This window comes from Homo sapiens, chromosome 19 (assembly GCF_000001405.40).
Source record: "Homo sapiens chromosome 19, GRCh38.p14 Primary Assembly".
NCBI lineage: Eukaryota > Metazoa > Chordata > Mammalia > Primates > Hominidae > Homo > Homo sapiens.
This window is the reverse complement of record NC_000019.10, coordinates 12,836,421-12,857,919: the sequence shown is the minus strand read 5'-3', so window position 1 is coordinate 12,857,919 and position 21,499 is coordinate 12,836,421. Positions and strand designations below refer to the sequence as shown.

Here is a 21,499-nt window from a genome sequence, read left to right as displayed (position 1 = left end):
CTCAGCCTCCCAGGTAGCTGGGACCACAGGCACATGCCACCATGCCAGGCTAATTTTAGTATTTTGGTTTTGCCATCTTGCCCAGGCTGCTCTTGAACTCCTAGGCTGAAGCAATCTGCCTGCCTTGGCCTCCCAAAGAGTAGGGACTACAGGCATGAGCCACTGTACCCAGCCAGAGTTACAGCTCTTAAACATACTAAAAGATTCGGGCCTGGAGCGGTGGCTCACGCCTGTAATCACAGCACTTTGGAAGGCCAAGGTGGGCGGATCATGCGGTCAGGAGATCGAGACCATCCTGGCTAACACTGTGAAACCCCATCTCTACTGAAAATACGAAACAATTAGCCAGGCATGGTGGCGGGCACATGTAGTCCCAGCTACTTGGGAGGCTGAGGCAGGAGAATGGCGTGAACCCGGGAGGCAGAGCTTGCAGTGAGCAGAGATCATGCCACTGCACTTCAGCCTGGGTGACAGAGCGAGACTCTGTCTCAAAAAAAAAAAAAAGATTCTTGGCCAGGTGCAGTGGCTTACGCTTGTAACCCCAGCACTTTGGGAGGCCAAGGCGGGCGGATCACCTGGGAGGCTGAGGCTGGTGGATCACCTGAGGTCAGGAGCTCGAGACAAGCCTGGCCAACATGGAGAAACCCCATCTATACTAAAAATACAAAATCAGCTGGGCATGATGGCACATGCCTGTAATCCCAGCTACTCAGGAGGCTGAGGCAGGAGAATCGCTTGAACCCAGGAGGCAGAGGTTGTGGTGAGCCGAGATCGTGGCATTGCACTCCAGCCTGGGCAACAAGAGCAAAACTCCATCTCAAAAAAAAAAAATTCTCAATCTCACTTACAATAACAGAAAGGCAAATTATAACTACCACAAAATACCATTTTTCACCTAGCAGATTGGGAGAAAAAACTCCAAAACCTGATATCCTCTATGGGCAAATATGTAGGTGAACATATATACTTTGCTGTTGGGAGTGTAAATTACTGTTTGATACAGATCAGAATTACAAATACATGTTCCCTTTGACTCAGCAATTTTACTTTTGAATTTATGCTACAGATATACTTGCACATGTGAAAAATGGTATATCTACTATCTTGCTCATTGTGAGATTGGAAATAATAATCCATACGTTAAATTAGCCAAACAAACACATGTGGGGTAGTTAGATAAAGAAACATTGTGCCACTGTTAGAAATAATGAGGAAACTCTCTGTCTATGGATTTAGAAAGTCCTCTATTTTATTAAGTGTAAAAATGCAATAGGCAATATGTATTGTACGTTTATGTGCAAAAAAATGTGGCAAAGGCCAGGTGTGGTGGCTCACACCTGCAATCCCAGCACTTTGGGAGGCCAAGGCAAGTGGATCACCTGAAGGTCAGGAGTTCGAGACCAGCCTGGCCAACATGGTGAAACCCTGTCTCTATTAAAAATACAAAAACTTAGCCAGGCGTGGTGGTGGTTGCCTATAATCCCAGCTGCTTGGAAGGCTGAAGCAGGAGAACCACTTGAACCCAGGAAGCAGAGGTTGCAGTGAGCCGAGATCACACTGTTGCACTCCAGCCTGGGCAACAAGAGTGGAACTTTGTCTAAAAAAAAAAAAAAAAGTGGCAAAATAAAACTATGTAATCATATTTCAGGGCTATAGGGCAATGGGGAAAAAAGGTAGGAGTAAGATTTTTTTCACTGTATATCTTTCTTGAAAATTATTTTGATTTTTCTTAGGGACAAAGAGATTTATTACATAGATATTACATAAAAAGATCTATGATATATAAAAATATTGAACTTATATGCTCCAAAGAATGTAGCCTAAAAATATCTGACATAAAAATTGACAGAATTGGGCAGAGTGTAAGAGGTATCTTATGCTGTATTTTTCCTTTATTGTTTGCAATACTTCGCACACTATTGTATGGAACTCTTACCTATAATCAAATAAAAACCAAAATGGCAAAAAAAAAAAAAAAATTGACAGAATTACAAGGAGAATTTGCTTAAAATAAGGTTTCACATTTCTCTCAGAAACTATTAGATTAATCAGGCAAGATAAATGAATAGGGAGATGGAAGATTTGAATCACTCAATTAACAAGTTTGATTAAAAGGAATAACAGAATCCTACAAACAATGAGAGATAAATACCTTTTTTTAGAGTTTTAGATTTTGAGTGATGTCATTCCATTACCTATTCAAAAAATTAAACAAATGGCATATATTGTGAGATTCCTTTTAAATATATACATAAAGGAAAGGTATGTGTATATATCTGTGTGACTGTATAGACACAATTTGAAATAAAGATTACAAACTTAAGCGTCTTCAGGGGCCAGTAGACCAGGGTGGAGGCCATGGATGACGAAGGGGCAGGTACCCAATATCACAGGACCACCCCCACTCAGCTGGTTCCACCACAGTATTATTAGAACTTCTTCTTCTTCTATTTTTTTTTAAGTAGAGACAGGGTCTTGCTATGTTGTCCAGACTGGTTTCAAACTCCTGGGCTCAAGCAATCCTGCCACCTTGGCTTCCCAAAGTGCTGGGACTACAGGCATGAGCCACTACACCCAGCCCTAGAACTTCTGATTTTTCAAGAGAAGGCCCAAACCCAGATTTTGAAGCAAAAATCTTTCAATTTTTATATTTTGCTTCTTTTATTTATCTATTTTTATTTTTTTCAAGATGGAGTCTCACTCTCTCACCCAGGCTGGAGTGCAGTGGTTTGATATCGGCTCACTGCAATCTTTGTCTCCCTGGTTCCAGCAGTTCTCCTGCCTCAGCCTCCCAAGTAGCTGGGATTACGGGTGGGCACCACCACACCTGGCTAATTTTATGTATTTTTTTAGTAGAGACAGGGTTTCACCATGTTGGCCAGGCTGGTCTCGACTTCCTGACCTCAAGTGATCCACCCGCCGCAGTCTCTCAAAGTGCTGGGATTACAGCCGTGAGCCATCAGGCCCAGCCCAAATTTTTGAAAAATACTAGGCAGTTCAGAGAAAACACATGTGTGGCCATTGGGGTAGGACTCTCCACTAGACATCTGGAACATCTGCCAAAGTGTGGCTGGCCTGGGAATAGAATTGGCAATTTTCCCCATGCTGAGCTGCCATTAACACATACAGCCAGTTAGCTTGCTCGAAAGCCCATGCAGGATTCCTCTATAAGTTAAACATAGAGCTACCATATGACCAAGAAATTCCACCTCTAGACGTATATCCTAAATAACTCAAAGCAGTTGTCCAGCCAAATATTTGTACACCCACATTCATAAGAGCACTATTTACAACAGATGAAAGATGGACAACCCAATGTTCACCAGTGGATGAATGCATCTACCATTCAATGGAATATTACTCGGCTATAAAAATGAATGAAGCAGTGACACAAGCTACAACATGGATAAACCTCAGAAACGTTATGTTAAGTGAAATAAGCCAGTCATAAGAGGCCACAGAGCATACGATCCCATTTATAGGAAATATCCAGAAAAAGGCCAGGCATGTGGCTCACGCCTGTAATCGCAGCACTTTGGGAGGCCAAGGCAGGCAGATCACCTGAGGTCAGGAGTTCGAGACCAGCCTGACCAACATGGTGAAACCCTGTCTTTACTAAAAATACAAAATTAGCCAGGTGTGGTGGCGCATGCCTATAATCCCAGCTACTCAGGAGGCTGAGGGAGGAGAATTGCTTGAACCTGGGAGGCGGAGGTTGCAGTGAGCCGAGATCACGCCATTGCACTCCAGCCTGGGCAACAAGAGTGAAATTCTGTCTCAAAAAAAAAAAAAAAAAGAAATATCCAGAAAAAGCAATTCCACAGAGAGAGAAAATAGATTAGTGGTTGCCAGGGACTGCAGGGAGGGAGGAATGAGGAGGGAGTGTGTAATGGGTGTGAGGTTTCCCTTTGGGGGTGATAAAAAAGTTCTGCAACTACATAGATCTAATGGCTGTACAGCATGGTGAATTACTAAATGCTGCAGAATTGTTTATTTATTACTATTAATCATTATTATTATTATTATTATTATTATTATTATTATTATTTTGAGACAGAGTCTCGCTCTGTTGCCCAGGCTGGAGTGCAGTGGTGGGATCTTGGCTCACACCAACCTCCACCTCCCGGGTTCAAGCAATTCTCCTGCCTCAGCCTTCCAAGTAGCTGGGATTACAGGCATGTGCCACCACGCCCAACTAATTTTTTTGTATTTTTAGTGGAAATGGGGTTTCACCATGTTGGCCAGGCTGGTTTCGAATTCCTGACCTCAAGTGATCCACCCATCTTGGCCTCCCAAAGTACTAGGATTACATGCATAAGCCATTGCACCTGGCCTATTCTTTATTATTTTTAATTTCATTTTTCAAGACAGGGTCTCACCCTGTTGCCCAGGCTGGAGTGCAGTGGTGTGATCATGGCTTACTGAAGCCTTGACTTCCTGGGCTCATAGGATCCTCCCACCTCAGCCTCCCGAGTAGCTGGGACTACAGGGGTGCACCACCACGCCCAGCTGATTTTTTATGCTGCCCAGGCTGGTCTCAAATGCCTTAGCACAAACAATCCTCCTGCCTTGGCCTCCCAAAGTGCTGGGATTACAGGCCTAAGCCACTGCACCCGGCCCCGAATTGTTCATTTTAAAATGGTTAAAAAGGCCGGGCGCGGTGGCTCATGCCTGTAATCCCAGCACTTTGGGAGGCCGAGATGGGCAGATCAACTGAGATTGGGAGTTTGCAACCAGCCTGACCAACATGGAGAAATTTTAGTCTCTACTAAAAATACAAAATTAGCCGGGTGTGGTGTTACATGCCTGTAATCCCAGCTACTCGGGAGGCTGAGGCAGGAGAATTGCTTGAACCCAGGAGATGGAGGTTGTGGTGAGCTGAGATAGTGCCATTGCACTCCAGCCTGGGCAACAAGAGCAAAACTCCATCTCAAAAAATAAATAAATAAATAAATAAAAATAAAATAAAATGGTTAAAAAAGTAAATTAAATTTTATGTTTCATGGATTTTAACATGACAAAGAGGTCACAGGGGAAGAGCAATTATTTTATTTTATTTTATTTTATTTTTTGAGACAGTTTCGCTCTTGTTGCCCAGGCTGGAGTGCAGTGGTGTAATCTCAGTTCACAGCAATCTCTGCCTCCTGGATTCAAGTGATTCTTCTGCCTCAGCCTCACAAGTAGCTGGGATTAGAGGCATGTGCCACCAGGCTTGGCTAATTTTTGCATTTTTTTTTTTTTTAAGTAGAAACGGGGTTTCTCCATGTTGGTTAGGCTGGTCTCGAACTCCCGACCTCAGGTGATCTGCCCACCTTGGCCTCCCAAAGTGCTGGGATTACAGGCATGAGCCAGCATGCCAGGCTCTGGAAGAGCTATTATTAATCCCATTTTATGGATGGGAAAACTGAGGCTCAGAGTGTAGGACCAAGAGATCCACAAAGCCTGAGGGCAAAGAAGCCGGAGATGAGCCCCACCCTGCCCTCCCAGGAACCAGGGTACTGACCGCTTAGCCACCCAGCCTTACCTCAGAGAGATCGTCTTGCTCAGGGGTGTTGGAACCACCACTGTCCTGTTCCTCCAGATGCACCACATCTAGGGAGGGACTGAGAGTGAGCACGAGCTGGGTTCTGGGCCTGCTCACCCCCAGTCCCCCTGCGCCCACCAGCCGGCACCTGGAAAGGGGTCACGGGTGAGGCCCAGCTGGCGGATGATGTAGCGGGGGATGTCCGTCTTCACAAGGTGGCCCTCCTTGGCGTGTCCTTCGGCCGCCTCCAGCAGGTGGTAGAACTCCTCGGGGTTGAATTCCTGAGGCAGGGCAGGAGTGGGCTCACCACAGGCTCCCAGGGTCTACCAACCCACCCCTACCCATGCCCAGCCCCCTCACCAGGCACTCCAGCAGCCTCGCAGGGCGTGAGATGATAATAAGCAACTTCTTCACCAGCTGAGTAACGAAGGCCACCTCCAAGCTCTCAGAGCGTTCATAGGCCTGTGGCAGGGGACACAGAGGGACAGGGCTCATAGGCACTCTGCCTCAGCCCGGCCCCTCTCTCAGCCCCTCAGAGTACATACTGCTGCTACTGTCCCATCTTACAGGTGAGGAGACTGAAGCCCAAGCCACACAGTAAAAATAATGAGGCTGGGCACGGTGGCTCATGCCTGTAATCCCAGCACTTTGGGAGGCTGAGGTGGGTGGATCACTTGAGGTCAAAAGTTTGAAACCAGCCTGGCCAACATGGTGAAACCCCATCTCCACTAAAAACGCAAAATGAGCCAGGCGTGGTGGCAGGTGCCTGTAATCCCAGCTACTTGGGAGGCTGAAGCAGGAGAATCCCTTGAACCTGGGAGGCAGAAGTTGCAGTGAGCCAAGATCACACCACTGCACTCCAGCCTGGGTGACACAGCGAGACTCTGTCTCAAAACAAAAGCAATGACAAACAAACAAACAAACAACAAAACCATAGCGAGACCCTGTCTCTACAAATAATAAAATTAGCCAGGTGTGGTAGTGTGTGCCTGTAGTCCTAGCTACCTGGGAGGCTGAAGTGGGAGAATTACTTGAGCCCAGGGGGCTAAGGCTGCAGTGAGCTGATTATACCACTGCACTCCTGCCTGGGTGACAGAGAGAGAGACCCTGTCTCAAAAAAAAAAAAAGAAAAAAAGAAAAGAAAAAGAGGCCGGGCACAGTGGCTCACGCCTGTAATCCCAGCATTTTGGGAGGCAGAGGAGGGTGAATTACTTGAGGTCAGGGGTTTGAGACCAGCCTGCCCAACATGGCAAAACCCCATCTCTACTGGAAGTACAAAAATTAGCTGGGTATAGTGCCACACACTTGTAATGCCAGCTACTTGGGAGGCTGAGGCAAGAGAATCGCTTGAACCAGGGAGGTGGAGGTTGCAGTGAGCCGAGATCACATCACTACACTCCAGCCTGGGTAGCAGAGTGAGACTGTCTCAAAAAAAAAAAAAAAGAAAAGAAAAAACTAATATCTTATTGCAATACTTGAAAAGCCTAAAATTAATGCCAAAAATCTATCATAAGCCAAAATATCAAAATTTAAGCCAGATGTGGTGGTACATGCCTATAATCCCAGCTACTCAGGAGGCTGAGGCAGGAGGATTGCTTGAGCCCAGGAGTTCAAGACCACCCTGGGCAACATAGAGAGTCCTCCATCTCAAATGAAAAAGAAAAAGAAAAAGAAAATTAAATAAAGACAGAATCCAACAGGCTGTGCCTAGCCATATTGTAACTTGAGCCAAAAAAAAGTATGCACCAACCTATATGTGTTTTAATGTGTCTTTGAAAATGTCTAATGGTTTCAATGAAAATAGTATTATTGATGAGTTTGCTTTCATTAAAACCAGGACAGTAAAATTATAACACATTCTGGCTTGGTTATAAATAAAATATGTAAACTTAAAATAATGTTGGGTTTTCATTTATCTACTTTTCAAGTTTTTCAAAAATTAATTTAATGTTCTGGGGGAAGAAATAATTACTTGCTTTACCCTGGTCCTGGTCTCAGCCCTAATACCTATTGGGTCTTTGTTTGTTTGACTTGTTTTACTGTAGAGACAGGGTCTCGCTATGTTACCCAGGCTGGTCTGCAACTCCTGGGCTCCAGAAAGCCTCCTGTCTCAGCTCCCCAAAGTGCTGGGATTACAGGGGTTAGCTTCTAACGCCTATTGTTTATCTTCTGTCTCTTCCTGCTATTAATAGAATGTCAGCTCTCCAAAGACAAGAATTTTTGTTTTATTTCCAGTTGATTTCCCAGCTTTTAGGCTAGTGCCAGGCCCATAGTAGGTGCTTAATAAATATTGGTGGGGGCCAGGCATGGTGGCTCACACCTGTAATCCCAGCACTTTGGGAGGCAGAGGCAGGTGGATCACCTAAGGTCAGGAGTTAGAGACCAGCCTGGCCAACATGGTGAAACCCTGCCTCGACTAAAAATACAAAAATTAGCCAGGCATGGTGGTGGGTGCCTGTGATCCCAGCTACTCGGGAGGCTGAGGCAGGAGAATGGCTTGAACCTGAGAGGTGGAGGTTGCAGTGAGCCAAAATCGCACCACTGCACTCCAGCCCAGTGGGATAGAGTGAGACTCTGTCTCCAAAAAAAATAAAATAAATAAATAAATAAATATTGGTGGAATTAATGAATGATCAAGTGATCCTCCTGCCTCAGCCTCTCAAGTAGCTGGGACAGCAGGTGTGTGCCACTACACCTAGCTAATTATTTTTATTTTTATTTTTATTTTTTTTGAGACAGAATCTCACTCTGTTGCCCAGGCTGGAGTGCAGTGGCGCAACCTCGGCTCACTGCAACCACTGCCTCCCGGATTCAAGCGATTCTCCTGCTTCAGCCTCCTGAGTAGCTGGGATTACAGGCACGTGCCACCAAGCCCGGCTAACTTTTTTGTATTTTTAGTAAAGACAGAGTTTCACCTTATTGGCCAGGCTGGTTTCAAACTCCTGACCTCGTGATCTGCTCGCCTCAGCCTCCCAAAGTGCTGGGATTAAAGGCGTGAGCAACCTCGCCTGGCTTAAATTTTTTAAATTGTTTTAGAGATGGGGTCCTGCTATGTTGCCCAAGCTGGTCTCAAGCTCCTGACCTCAAGCAATCCTCCCATCTCAGCCTCCTAAGTAGCTAGCTGGGACTACAGGTGCATGCCACTGCAAAGGGACATTCAAGCATCAATTTACCCAACATTTATTGAGTACCTACTGTGTGCTGGGTATTGTTCCAAACAGCAGGGACACAGCAGTGGACAGAACAGACAACTCCACCCCCCCACCCTCACCAACTATGGGGCTGACATTGGAGAAGGATAGACATGAAATAAAATAAGCAAAAATACACAGTATGATGGATGGTGCTGAGTGTCAAGGAGAAACTGAGGAGAAAGTGGGTGATAAATGTGAGTAGAGTTTAATATTTTATTTTATTTCATTTATTTATTTATTTTTGAGACAGAGTTTCACTCTTGTTGCTCAGACTGGAGTGCAATGGTGTGATCTCGGCTCACCGCAACCTCCGACTCCCAGGTTCAAGCGATTCTCCCGCCTCTGCCTCCCAAGTAGTTGGGATTACAGGCGCCCACCACCACGCCCAGCTAATTTTTGTATTTTTAGTAGAGACGGGGTTTCGCCATGTTGGCCAGGCTGGTCTCGAACTCCTGACCTCAGGTGATCCACTTGCCTCAGCCTCCCAGAGTGCTGGGATTACAGGCCTGAGCCACCGCACCCGGCTAAGTTTAATATTTTATTTTATTTTATTTTATTTACTATTATTATTTTTTGAGACGGAGTCTCGCTCTGTCGCCCAGGCTGGAGTACAGCGGCGCAATCTCGGCTCACTGCAAGCTCCGCCTCCCGGGTTTACGCCATTCTCCTGCCTCAGCCTCCCGAGTAGCTGGGACTACAGGCGTCCGCCACCACGCCCGGCTAATTTTGTGTGTGTGTGTGTTTTTAGTAGAGACGGGGTGTCACCGTGTTAGCCAGGATGGTCTCGATCTCTTGACCTCGTGATCCGCCCCCCTCGGCCTCCCAAAGTGCTGGGATTACAGGCCTGAGCCACCGAGCCCGGCCGAGTTTAATATTTTAAATGACTGGGGACCGCCTAAGAAGCCACCTGAAAAGGTGACATTTGAGTAAAGACCTAAGGGAAATGAGCGAGGTGAAATTCCTGCCTCTTCAGTCGGTCAGACCTAGGGAAGGGACCACTTCCACCCCTGAGTCCTCAGCTCCACGCCAGTGCCTGGAACGTGGTAGGAGCTCCCTGAATGTATGTGGGGTGAAGAAAGGGGTGCATTGGGCACAATCTGGCGGTGCTGAGCCTGAGATCAGCCCGGCCTCCGCGTGCACTCACGTCTTGAAGGAGCTTCTCCAGGTTCTCCTGCAATTCATAGAAGTAGACCGTGGTGATGAGGCCGTCACGGGACTTGGTCAGGCAGTCCCGGGCCAGCTCGATGATCTGGTGGTGGATGAAGCTGAGCACGCCATCGGCCAGAGGCAGAACGCTGTCGGGTTCGTAGGCGCGGGTAAAGTCGCGCAGCTTCTCCTCCATCTGCGCAGTGGCCTGCGGGAGGGACGGAGGAGGGGCGCGGGGCTGTGCCCGAAGGCTGCGGCCGCCAGGAGCCTGCGCTGCGCACCGAGGCCGCCAGGGGGCGCGCGGGGATAAGGCGAGCGAGAGTGCAGGCCGCCTGGTCACCCCGTGACCGCCTCGGGTCCCACCTCACCTTCGGGAACCTCTCCTTGTAGACGTGATTCATCATCACGATCTCGTTGTCGTAGGAGGAGGGGGAGCGCCCGGGGCTGCGGGGAGAGAAGCCCATTTTGTCGAGTCCTCTGCCTCCAAGCCCGCAGAGAGCCCCCGCCCCAAGATGTAACCCTTTTATTCGCGGGGACAGGGGTCTCTCTAAGCACAAGTCCTAAGACCACTAGCTTGGTACGAAGGAGGAGGGATGCCTGCCCACCTGAGGCTCCGTGAGCGGGGCCGCACGGCTGGGGAGCGACGGCCACCATCCTCGTCTGTGATGCTCTCGGTGCTCCCGAAGTGTTTGGAGAGGAAGTGGAGCTCGTCCACCGTGGGCTGGTAGGGCAGCTGGTGAAGGCGCTCCTGGGAGGAGCAGGAGGACTGGGGACAGGGGCAGGGCCGGGGTCAGAGCCACCATGGGCCCCCCAACAGCTCAGGACCCTGAGCTGGGACTCCCAAAGCCGATGGGGTCACTGGGCAAGGCCAGGATCAGGACCTGATTTACGATCCTTGGATCCTAGGATCTTGGCTGGGACTCTTGGCCACAGACAGGTGGACAGGGACAGACAGGGGTGGAGACAGTGAGTCTGTTAAAGCTTGGGTCAAGTCATGAGCCTCCTCTGTTCAGAACCCTTGGTGGCTCCCACCTTACTCAGGGTGAACACCCAAGTCCTTCCCCAGTTATACAAGGTCCTGCCTCATCCTGCCCTGGGTCCCTGCCGTGGATTTTTCTCACTCTCCTGCTTACTTCCTCTGCTCCAGCTACAGTGGCCTTCTTTTTTTTTTTTTTTTTTTTTTTTGAGATGGAGTTTCGTTCTTGTTGCCTAGTTTGGAGTGTGATCTCAGCTCACTGCAACCTCCGCCTCCCGCGTTCAAGCGATTCTCCTGACTCAGCCTCCTAAGTAGCTGGGATTACAGGTGCCTGTCACCACGCCTGGCTAATTTTTTGTATTTTTAGTAGAGACAGTGTTTTACCATGTTGGCCAGGCTGGTCTTGAACTCCTGACATCAGGTGATCCACCTGCCTCTGCCTCCCAAAGTGCTGAGATTACAGGCACAAGCCACCGCACCCAGCCTAGTGGCCTCCTTGATGGTCCTTGGACAAGCCAGGCAAGCTCCTTCCTCAGGGCCTTTGCATTAGCTATTCTTTCTGCTTGGAACACATCTACTATGGATCCCTCCTTCTCATCCTTCAAATTTTTGCTTCAATGTCACCCCTCGGGAAGACCTCCTCTGAATACACACCCATTATTCCCTATCCCTACTCTATCTTGTTTCCTCTTGCTTTATTATCATTATTATTTTAGAGAAGGGTCTCCACTGAATATGGTGACTCACACCTGTAATCTCAGCACTTTGGGAGGCGAAGGCGGGAGGATCATTTGAGCCCAGGAGTTTGAGACCAGCCTGGGCAACATAGTGAAACTGTGTCTCTATTTATTAAAATTATTTAAAGTTAAAAAGAGAGAGAGACACGGTCTCCTTGTGTCACCCAGGCTAGAGGGATGTAGTACAATCATGGCTCACGGAAGCCTTGAACTCCTGGGCTAAAGTAATCTTCCCCCCTCTGCCTTCTGTGTAGCTGGGACTACACCATGCTTGGCTAATTCTTTTTTGCAGAGACAGGGTCTCTCTATGTTGCCCAGGCTGGCTTCCAACTCCTGGCTTCAAGCAATACTCCCACTTTGGCCTCTCAAAGTTCTGGGACTGAGGGCAGGGCTCGGTGGCTCACGCCTGTAATCCCAGCACTTTGGGAGGCTGAGGCGGGCAGAAAAACTGAGGTCAGGAGTTCTAGACCAGCCTGGCCAACAGGGTGAAACCCCGTCTCTACTAAAAATATAAAAAAATTAGCCAGGCATGGTGGTGGGCACCTGTAATCCCAGCTACTCGGGAGGCTGAGGCAGGAGAATTGCTTGAACCCAGGAGATGGAGGTTGCAGTGAGCCGGCACGGTGCCATTGCACTCCAGGCCTGGGCGACAGAGTGAGACTCCATCTCAAAAAAAAAAAAAAAAAAAAATTGCTGGGTCACAGGCATGAGCCACTATGCCTGGCTCTCCTCTTGCTTTATTTTATTTTTTTTTATTTCGAGACAGGGTGTTTCTCTCTCCCCCAGGCTGGAGTGCAGTGGCTCGACCTCCACTCACTGCAACCCCCACCTCCTGGGCTCGAGCAATCTTTCCATCTCAGCCTCCTGAGTAGCTGGGACTTCAGGCACAAGCCATCACACCTGGCTAATTTTTTTTTTTTTTTTTTTTTTTGTAGAAACAGGGTTTCATCACGTTGCTCAGGTTGGTCTCAAACTCCTGGGCTCAAGCAATCCTCCCACCTCAACCTCCCGTAGTGTTGGGAATACAGGTGTGAGCCACCATGCCTGGTCATATAGCTTTCACCCAGGCTGGAGTGCAGTGGTGCAGTCTTGGCTCACTGCAACCTCCAGTTCTCAGGTTCAAGCAATTCTCCCTGCCTCAGCCTCCTGAGTAGCTGGGATTACAGGCATCCATGACCACGCCTGGCTCATTTTTGTATTTTTACTAGAGACAGGGTTTCACCATGTTGGCCAGGCTGGTCTCGAACTCCTGACCTCAAATGATCCACCCGCTTCAGCCTCCCAAAATGCTAGGATTATAGGCATGAGCCACCGCGCCCGGCCAGAATGATATTTTTAAACATCACATTGCTCACTCCTCTGGTTAAAATTCCCCACCCCATCCATCTCTTTTATTTTTTTAATTAGTGTGCATTATCTATAGCCTACATAATCACAATTTCAAATGGTTCAAACTGAAATTTTAGTACAATTTAATATAAAGAAATAAAACCATTCCATGGCTTCCCCACTGGATTTAGAATAAAATCTCCCTTGCTGCCCTGGCTGACAAGGTTCCAGCCTGATCAAGGTCACTGCCTGCATCATCTCTATTCCTCCCCCGCATCCCAAATTTTCAGCCCCACAAAGCTACTTTCAACTTTTCAAATGCTGCAAGTTCTGTGGCCTCTAGAGGTTTGCACATGCTCTTCCCCTTCCTGGAACACTCTTCTCCCTTCTCTTCCATCTGCCAAACTCCTGCTGGTCTGTTGTCTTGGTTTCAATGTCACCTCCTCCAGGAAGCCTTCCTTGACAACCCCCCAATCTGAGTCACATGCCTCTCCCCTATCACCTCACCTTGTGCTACTTGCATCAAAGTTCTGACCATTCTATTTTGTGAATGCCTTCTTACTGGCTTGTCTTCCCCCATGAGGGCTGCGTGAATATTTACACTCTGGCCCAGCTTGCAGAACCCGCCTACCACATGACAATCTCATGACAAATGTCTGCTGAACATCATGCCAATGGCTGGATAAGGGAACTATGGGCATGGATAGAAAAGGGAGCAGATGAAGGGACTTTGGGTGTTCCAAGGGGTGAGCAAGTGGGCTCTGGGTGAAAGCTGTGGCCTGGCCCAGCCCAGCTGCTGATATCAGAGTAAATGGCTTAACTCACAGAGCCTTATGTCACCAGCTGTAAATGAGTGAGTCAGAAATGAGTAGGAAGGACCCTCCCAGAAATGTGTTGAGGGCAGAGCATTGGGCTCTGAGTGGGGCGGACCCATAACTCTTTAATAGATGGACAAGTGAACACCTTTGAAGAATGGGGAAACCCAAACTGTCTTTTTTTGCTTTTTTCTTTTGAGACAGGGTCTCACTCTGTCATCCAGACTGGAATGCTGCAGTGCGATCTCAGCTCAACTGTAGCCTATACCTCCCAGACTCCAGCGATCCTCCCGTCTCAGCCTCCCAAATAGTGGGGACCACAGGTGTGCACCACCACGCCCAGATAATTTTTAATTTTTTGTAGGGACAAGGGTCTCCCTATGTTGCCCAGACTGGTCTTGAACTCCTAGGCTCAAGCAATCCTTCTGTCTTGGCCTCCCAAAGTACTGGGATTACAGGCTTGAGTCACTGAGCCTGGCCCTAAACTGTCATCAAGCCCAGCCTGGACTGCTGGCCTGGGTGTGGGTCTTCAGGCTGGAGGGCCCCTGAATTCCTTACCCACCGGCCCACCCACCTACTTTCCACACTCACCGAGACGGTGGAACTGGGCGTGTTGGTGCCATAGCCAGATGAAGGGAGCGAGGCCAGAGACCACCGGCGTCCGTCCGCCCTGGAACCCAGCCAAGGTGCTCAGAGGCCACAAGGCCCCAGCGGTCCCCCAACTCCTCAGGGTGTGGGTGAAGCCACTGGCCAGGGCCAGGGTGGGGGTTGGGGGAATATATCTGCACTCTAAGATTCCTCAAGGCCCTCAGAATCAAGGGGATAAAGAGGGACTCTTCCAGGCAGGCACCGGGAATTGGAGGGAGGATCCGTCTCCACTCTCCTCCCCACGGTCCCCTCTCTTATCATTCAGAGTGGACACCGAGAACTGGAAAAGCCCCCACCCAGTGAAGCCTTTCCAGAGAGATTCTAGAAATTTCCCCCAAGTGAACACTCTCCATGAGAAAGCTCTGAGGGAGACCCTTGGATCTTCTCAGAGAAAAAAGACCCGTCCCACCCCCCAACATGTTCTGACATAGAATATTGTGTCCTTATGCTCTCGTGCACACAGACACAGTCACTGTTGCAGCCAAATCCATTAATGTTGGTGTGACTATCAGGTCAGGCTCACATACTGGCAGTGCACACATTTACACTTCACACACACGAAGACACACACTCACACATGACTCCTCAACACAGACACCCACACGTATTGACTATCCCATCCATGGACCCAAATATCACACTCTCACACACTAATGCACAATCACGCGTGCAAGACCAGACATGCACTCACCTATAGACACATGTGCTTCCACTCAGTACTCACACTCGGACACACAGACTCACCCAAACATACTCCACACTTCCACATTCACACAGATGCACGTTCCAGACACCCACGCTCACTACCACACATTGAAACTTGCACACAGCGACACACTCATTCACACTCGCACGCAGATGCACACACACAGGGACACACATCGGCGCGTGCTCATGTGAGTGCACAACACACATTAGCATGTGCATGTGTAAGCGTGTGGCTGTGAGACAGTAAACTGGACGGGCGCGGTGGCTCATGCCTGTAATCCTAGCATTTTGGGAGGCCGAGGCGGGTGGATCACCTGAGGTCAGAAGTTCGAGACCAGCATGACCAACCTGGTGAAACCCCATCTCTACTAAAAATACAAAAATTAGCCGGGCGTGGTGGCAGGCGCCTGTAATCCCAGCTACTTGGGAAGCTGAGGCAGGAGAATCGCTTGAACCCAGAAGGCGGAAATTGCAGTGAGCCGAGATCCCGCCATTGCACTCCAGCCTGGGCAACAGAGCGAGACTCTGTCTCAAGAAAAGAAAAAAAAAAGAGAGAGAGAGAGAGAGACAGTAAACACTGTGACTCTGTGTTTACTATCTCACAGCCACACACTCACACACGCTTACACCCACACACAGATTGCACGCTCACCTGGAGACATACCTGACTTGCTCCTCTCACATATTCACAGACACTTACAATCCTACAGACACATGTTCACACGTTCACATTCGCAGACTCGTGCCATTGCATAGGCACGTAATCCCTCACACAGTGACAATCACACACACACACCAGCACACTTTGCACAGTTACAAGGACACACACACACCCCATTTATTGGACTCCTCCCTTCCTTCTTCCTCCCAGCAGTCCCCTCGCTCAGTCCTCCCCGCTTGCGGATAAACATGTGAGACCCTATCCCAGAGCCTTGTCCTGGCTCTCTATTGCCCTCAGCTAAATTCCATGGTCAATAGGCGGTTCCCCCACTTTCCCAAGGGAGCTGTCTGTCTTCACAGTCTCCTTTGACTCTCACAACACAGCCTTCATCAGCCTTTGCACTGATCCCCATTCTCTGGCCTGCCTGCCCTATTCGACTCAGAGGGTAGAGACAGGACGTCATTGACCCCATACGCCCAGCTCCTAAGAACATAGCAGGTGTTTAGACACCATTTTTAGAATGAATAGAGTTCAAAGAAAAAGAGACAGGCCCAAACTCCCAGAAACGTTTCTCCAGAAAACATCAGAGAAACCTCTCTGCCTCCCCCAGTTTCACCAAAGGCCCATAGAAAATTCATTTAAGGACACCCCAGAAACCCTAAGAGACCCTTGGAAAGAAACCTGAGATTCCTCCCCTTGAGAAACAGCCCTAGTCGTCCTCCCCCACCTCGGGGACCAAGAGTCCCTCGATAGGCATCGCGCAATCTGCGCTTGCGCACGTCATCTTGGCTGCCCCGTCCTGTTGCTATGGAAACACCTGGCCAGGAGAGCAAGGCTCGGAGAGACTAAGACCCCGCGCCCAGGGCGCACGCGCTTTCGACCTGCCGCAAAGGGAGCCCCACCGCCTTCCCCGTTCCAGATCGGCGATTGGACCCCGCCTTCTTATAGGCCCCGCCCCGAAGGCTAGGCGCTCCTTCCCGCTGAGACCTTGGGGCACTCGCTGGTCCCCTCAGGCCCCAGCTCGGGTGCAATTAGGAGGAGAACAGATGGCGGCCCAGACAGTGGTTGGGGAGGGTCTGCCCAGGGTTCTGGGGCCCTGGAGGGGAGGGACTCACCTTCGGGAGGAGGCAAACGAGAAGTGGGCGGGGGTGTTGGGGGAGAAGTTTCGGGGGCTGTCCAGGGGACTGCTGCCTATGAGAGAAAGAGGGGGCAAATCCTGTCAGGTCTCTCGTTCCCTAAAGCGGCGTGCAAACAGCAGCATGTCCTGTCTTTAGTCTAGTCCCGCCTATTATGGGGAGACCACGCCCCTTCGCCTGTGGCCCCGCCTCTCTAAATTTTTTCGTTGCCGAGTCAGCCTGGCCCCTTCCAAGACGATTCTGGCTTCATCTGGGATGGCCCCGCCCCTCAGGTACGACTCCTCCTTTCTGTCCGTCCCACCTGAGTCTCCGCCCACCTGAGTCTCCGCCCCCCAATGACCGTCCCTCTGCGACTGACCACACCCACACAAGCATGGCCCCGCCCCTTATCCAAACTGGTTCGCCTCCATTCAAACTGCGCCCCTTCTGTAGCATGACCACGCTTCCTCGCCTGAGGCCCCGCCTACTGTAGGCCAGTCTGCACCCACCAAGTCTCTACCACTGGCCTCACCTAGGTGACCTGGCAGCGGGGAGTGGGGTCTCGGTAGCGTGGGTGAAGTGCTGGTCAGGATGAGGCTTTTCCGATTACTGGTGCGGCAGCTGCGGGGAAGGTAAGGCAGGGGGGCCGGGCCGGGCCGCAGCCCAGTGAGTTCTTGAGCCCCACCAGCTGACCTCCTGTCTCAGATCCCCGCCTATCTCCCATCCATGTGTGTTTGGAGGCTCCCTGGGAGGGTTTCTCGAAGAAAGGTGGTGCAGGCCTCGGCAGGACTGTGTACGGCAGGGGATGTGCATATGACATGTGTGTGAGAAACTCTCAGTATGGATTATGTGTAGGGCAGTGTCTGTCATGGTGTGATAGTCACTGTGTCTAGGTGACACCATTGGTGATACTGAGCGTGTCTCAGTCTATGCGTGACATTCACTGTAGGTATCCACGTGTGGTATCCACTGTATGAATTCAACAATGTGTGACGCTGAATGCATTCTAGTGTGATACGTGTGACACAACGTGGGTTTATCTTGTGTGATACAATTTGAGCATTTGTGTGTCTATGTGACACAGTGTGAAATGCCACTTGTCCATAACAATGTGTGCTGTAACACAGGCAGGTTGTATTATTATTATTTTTTTTCTTTTAAATCAATGTCTCGCTCTGTCGCCCGGCTGGAGTGCAGTGTGCAGTGGCTCACTGCAGCCTCAAACTCCTGGGCTCAAGCAATCCTCCCGCCTCACCTCACCCTCCTGAGTAGCTGGGACTACAGGTGCCTGCCACCATGCCTGGCCAGGATGCATGATCCCCCCTACATGTATCTATGTCTTTGTGTGGCATTCTGAGTCTGTGTCCGATACTGTCCTTCCGTCTGGGTGTGACATTCACCATGCTTGTCCATGTGTATGTAGCATCTATTGTGTGAATTTAACATCTTGTGACACTGTGTCCAAACATGTCACCACATTTGACATTCTCTAGGTGAGTCTTGCAATGTGATAACATGTGATTTTGCGTGGTTCTGTCTCTGCAAGATCCCTACATCTGTTTATCCTGATGTCAGTGTGACATAGTATGTGAGATACCTAGATATGACATCGTGTGTTGTGACATTCTTGGATGCATGGATGGGATATTGAAACACATGTTTGCATCTTGGATGACATAACTGTGTGTGTGTGGATCGCCATGTAAGTGACATCTTACTAGGTGTACACGACGTGGTGCCCCTGTGTGTCTGTGCATGGTTCTGACCTGTGGCAGCTGCAAGGCTAGGTATGTGTGGCACCTCCCAGTGTATCTGGGCCACTAGGGCTGTTGTGTGTATGTGTGTGACATCATGTCCTGTGTGACGCTGTGTGTCACTATTTTCAGTGTAAGGCTGTGTTCGGGGGGGGGGGTTGTGTTATGATAAACCCCCCCTTTTTTCTACCCCTCAGCATCCAGCTCCCGAAGAGGGAGCCCCAAGCCCCTCCGTCCGTCCCCTCACCCACAGCCGCAGTGACTGAGCATATTAGCGCGTCCAGGAGCACGCGGCATGGGGGTGGGGGGAGGCCAGGCTGCGGCTATTGTTCTGAGGGTGCCAAGCCCCCCAGCCTCCCCTTCTTCCTCTACCCCCACCAGGCTGTTGGAGCCCGCAGCGCCAGCAGACAAAGGCGCCACAAACCCCCAGTGGCGCAGCCCCCTCCCCCCGCGGCCGTCCTCTCCAGCGTGCAAGCCCCCCAGACTCGGCCCACACCACCCCCCATTCAACCCCAACCCCGGCGGGAAGGCGCAGCTGGGGCACCTCTGGCGCAGCTGGACCGGGCGCAGCATCCCGGGCCCCGCCCTGCAGCAGTACCCGGAGCGGCGGCTTTTGCGGGGAGGGCCGGGACAATGTCTAGGGGATCGGGGGTCTACCTCTTGGTGCGGCGGAACATACTGCCGCCGGGGAAGGAGGGCATCGAGAAATTAGAAAGCGCGGTCCAGAGAGAGTCAGACATGACCCGGCGGCGGCGACATGGTGGCAGGTGCGGCAGCAGCGGCGGAGGCGGCGGCGGCGGCGGCGCGGGGAGCAAGCGCGCGGGGCGGAGGCTGCAGCCGCCGCAGCGGGCAGGGGAGGGCAGGGAAGGGGAGGGCCCTGCGGCTGCAGCCGGCCGGGAGGGGGCGCTGCTGCGTGCCGGCGAGCCAGGCCCCGCCCGCGCACTCGCCTGGCGCCCCCACCCCGGCGGGAGAAGGGGCGGCCAGCCCCCGCCACGTCTCTCCCCAGGCTCACCTGCTGCTTTTCCGGGGCAGGGGCAAATCCTTCTGGAAGGCAAAGGGGCAAAACGATGAAGGTCAGCGTGGACCTGCCGTTGCTGCCCACAAGCATTATCAACTCCCTGGAGGAGCAGAAGCAGGGTAAGACAGGCCCCTCTTCAGCACTGTCACTTTCACCCTTGGCCATGCACTGCGGGCCAAGTTTCTTGGGGGAGAGGATCCCTGGGTGATTCCTCTCCTGACCCTCAGAGACCAACAGAGGCCCACGTACACAGGCGGGGCGCCATATAAAGGCAAGTGAGTTGGCATATCAGCGTGTGTTTGTGCAAATGAAATAGGAATCATTATTTGAAAAATATGTCTTGAGCACCTACTGTATGCTGACCCAATCCTAGGCACTAGGGACACAGTAGTGAATAAATTACAAGTCCGGTGTGGTGGTGTGCACCTCTAGTCCCAGCTACTTGGGAGGTTGAGGCAGGAGAATCGCTTGAGTCCAAGGAAACACCAGCGTGGGCAACACAGCAAGACTCTCTGTCTCAAGGAGAAAAAAAAAAAAGTTTCTGGCCTTTTGGGACTAGTATTTATAGGGTAAAGGGGACATTAAACAAGATTAGTGTAGAAGTGAACGAAATCATTTTAGACAATAATTAGTCTTATGAATAAATTAAACAGGGTGATGTGATGGACAATGGCTAGGATGGAGACACATTGTCAGACAGGGCTGCTCTGTGGAGGTGACTTTTAAGCTGGTTGCTGAAAGATAAGAGCCAGCCATGGGAGGATCTGTGGAGAGAGCATTCCAGGTGGAGGGAACTGCAAGGGCAAAGGCCTGGAGGCGGGAATAAGCTTAGCGTACTCAATGAATGAATGAAAGGTTGAATGAATGAAAGGTTGAAAGAATGAATGACTCATCTACACCTCAGCAGATCTATCTGACTCCCAGCTAGAGTCATAGAGTTGGGGTAGGGGGTGGGGGGTAGGTAAGTAGAGTGACTCACAACTGAGATTTAAAATGGGAACCACGGAGGCTGAGGTGGGAGAATCTCTTGAGCTCAGGAGGTCGAGGTTATAGTGAACTATGATTGCACCACTGCTGGAGTAAGACACCCTCTCAATTAACAATAAATAAATAAATAATAAAAAGTTTAAAAAATAAAAAAATAAAAATGGAAATTCAGGTGATGGCCGCATAGTCATTTTTTATAATGACAATAATAATAATTAGTGAGTATTAACTTTATGTGTCTGCATTTGAAGAAGGTCACCTTCCATTTGTCAAGCTCTTAGGAAGTCACTGTAGGGATCAGGAGATATGGGGTCTTGGCTTTTTTCTGAGGAAAGGAATGGGGTACAAGGGGCAACACCTGCCAGCCAGTTTTCTATCCACAGGGTGAGGTGGAAGGAAGGAAACTGAGTGGGGCTGCAGGTGGAAAGATTTGGGGGAGAGTTTCAAAAGGCCTTTGGAGGGGACTCCAACAAAAGGAAAATGAGGGATGTCCTAGACATTTCTAGGATCTCTAAAAGCAAAAAGCCTAGGTTCAAATCTCAATTCTGCTTTTTATGACCTTGGCAAATGACCTTCCAATAGTCCCGTGTCTCCTTGAGGATCTTAGGAGTTGATGCAGATGCCTAGCCCCTTAGCATGGTGCCTAGCACATAGCAAGTGCTCAATAAATACTAAGTCTGGAGAACAGGCGTTATTAAGGAGGGACATGCTGCATGACAGAGGATGGGCCACAGCGTCCTCCCACCCCGTTGTACAACGGACAAACATATAGGCGGGGCCAAAGGGCAGCCCTGCCCTCCCGAGCCACGGGTGACCGATAATCCAAACCAGGTTTTCCCTCTGTCTTTGCATGACCGGAGTGAATGAGGACCAGTCGACCTGGCTGC

At 50.1% G+C, this 21,499-nt stretch overlaps 1 protein-coding gene and 1 non-coding gene across 2 annotated transcripts in view, besides 9 other annotated features; both read right to left on the bottom strand.

Moving 5' to 3' along the window:
* The window catches only part of MAST1 (microtubule associated serine/threonine kinase 1), a 36,438-nt gene extending 17,033 nt beyond the window's left edge, over positions 1-19,405 (bottom strand). The window contains exons 1-10 of the mRNA NM_014975.3: positions 19,265-19,405; positions 17,386-17,474; positions 16,854-16,929; positions 14,313-14,391; positions 10,470-10,630; positions 10,233-10,308; positions 9,863-10,072; positions 5,885-5,986; positions 5,673-5,805; positions 5,525-5,592 (exon numbers count right to left, since the gene is read on the bottom strand). Of these exons, the coding sequence (NP_055790.1) occupies positions 5,525-5,592; positions 5,673-5,805; positions 5,885-5,986; positions 9,863-10,072; positions 10,233-10,308; positions 10,470-10,630; positions 14,313-14,391; positions 16,854-16,929; positions 17,386-17,474; positions 19,265-19,347 (1,077 nt within the window). The 5' untranslated portion in view covers positions 19,348-19,405. The remainder of the gene's footprint in view (positions 1-5,524; positions 5,593-5,672; positions 5,806-5,884; positions 5,987-9,862; positions 10,073-10,232; positions 10,309-10,469; positions 10,631-14,312; positions 14,392-16,853; positions 16,930-17,385; positions 17,475-19,264) is intronic.
* Positions 5,231-5,731: an enhancer, noted in NCBI's record as "H3K4me1 hESC enhancer chr19:12963003-12963503 (GRCh37/hg19 assembly coordinates)". NCBI's record gives its function as "activates a minimal SCP1, AML or CMV promoter by ChIP-STARR-seq in primed H9 embryonic stem cells {active_cell/tissue: H9 hESC(primed)}" and the evidence as "EXISTENCE:reporter gene assay evidence [ECO:0000049][PMID:30033119]".
* Positions 5,593-5,660, bottom strand: MIR6794 (microRNA 6794). The gene has a single exon (NR_106852.1). It is a non-coding gene; the product is annotated as a microRNA 6794 (primary transcript).
* Positions 9,364-10,187: an enhancer, noted in NCBI's record as "H3K4me1 hESC enhancer chr19:12958547-12959370 (GRCh37/hg19 assembly coordinates)". NCBI's record gives its function as "activates a minimal SCP1, AML or CMV promoter by ChIP-STARR-seq in primed H9 embryonic stem cells {active_cell/tissue: H9 hESC(primed)}" and the evidence as "EXISTENCE:reporter gene assay evidence [ECO:0000049][PMID:30033119]".
* Positions 9,364-10,409: a biological region, named in NCBI's record as "CRISPRi-FlowFISH-validated KLF1 and PRDX2 regulatory element". NCBI's record gives its function as "regulatory_interactions: KLF1 | PRDX2".
* Positions 9,909-10,409: a transcriptional cis regulatory region, noted in NCBI's record as "genic|chr19:12958325-12958825 region (GRCh37/hg19 assembly coordinates) targeted for CRISPR interference". NCBI's record gives its function as "positively regulates expression of KLF1 and negatively regulates expression of PRDX2 in K562 cells {active_cell/tissue: K562}" and the evidence as "EXISTENCE:mutant phenotype evidence [ECO:0000015][PMID:31784727]".
* Positions 10,057-10,236: a silencer, noted in NCBI's record as "silent region_10179". NCBI's record gives its function as "represses an Ori minimal core promoter by ATAC-STARR-seq in GM12878 lymphoblastoid cells {active_cell/tissue: GM12878}" and the evidence as "EXISTENCE:reporter gene assay evidence [ECO:0000049][PMID:35858748]".
* Positions 17,359-17,418: an enhancer, noted in NCBI's record as "active region_14087". NCBI's record gives its function as "activates an Ori minimal core promoter by ATAC-STARR-seq in GM12878 lymphoblastoid cells {active_cell/tissue: GM12878}" and the evidence as "EXISTENCE:reporter gene assay evidence [ECO:0000049][PMID:35858748]".
* Positions 19,325-19,374: a silencer, noted in NCBI's record as "silent region_10178". NCBI's record gives its function as "represses an Ori minimal core promoter by ATAC-STARR-seq in GM12878 lymphoblastoid cells {active_cell/tissue: GM12878}" and the evidence as "EXISTENCE:reporter gene assay evidence [ECO:0000049][PMID:35858748]".
* Positions 19,425-19,604: a silencer, noted in NCBI's record as "silent region_10177". NCBI's record gives its function as "represses an Ori minimal core promoter by ATAC-STARR-seq in GM12878 lymphoblastoid cells {active_cell/tissue: GM12878}" and the evidence as "EXISTENCE:reporter gene assay evidence [ECO:0000049][PMID:35858748]".
* Positions 19,609-19,792: a silencer, noted in NCBI's record as "fragment chr19:12948942-12949125 (GRCh37/hg19 assembly coordinates)". NCBI's record gives its function as "represses an EF-1alpha promoter that drives an FKBP-Casp9 reporter gene in an ReSE screen in phorbol 12-myristate 13-acetate-treated (for megakaryocytic differentiation) K562 erythroleukemia cells {active_cell/tissue: K562(+PMA)}" and the evidence as "EXISTENCE:reporter gene assay evidence [ECO:0000049][PMID:32094911]".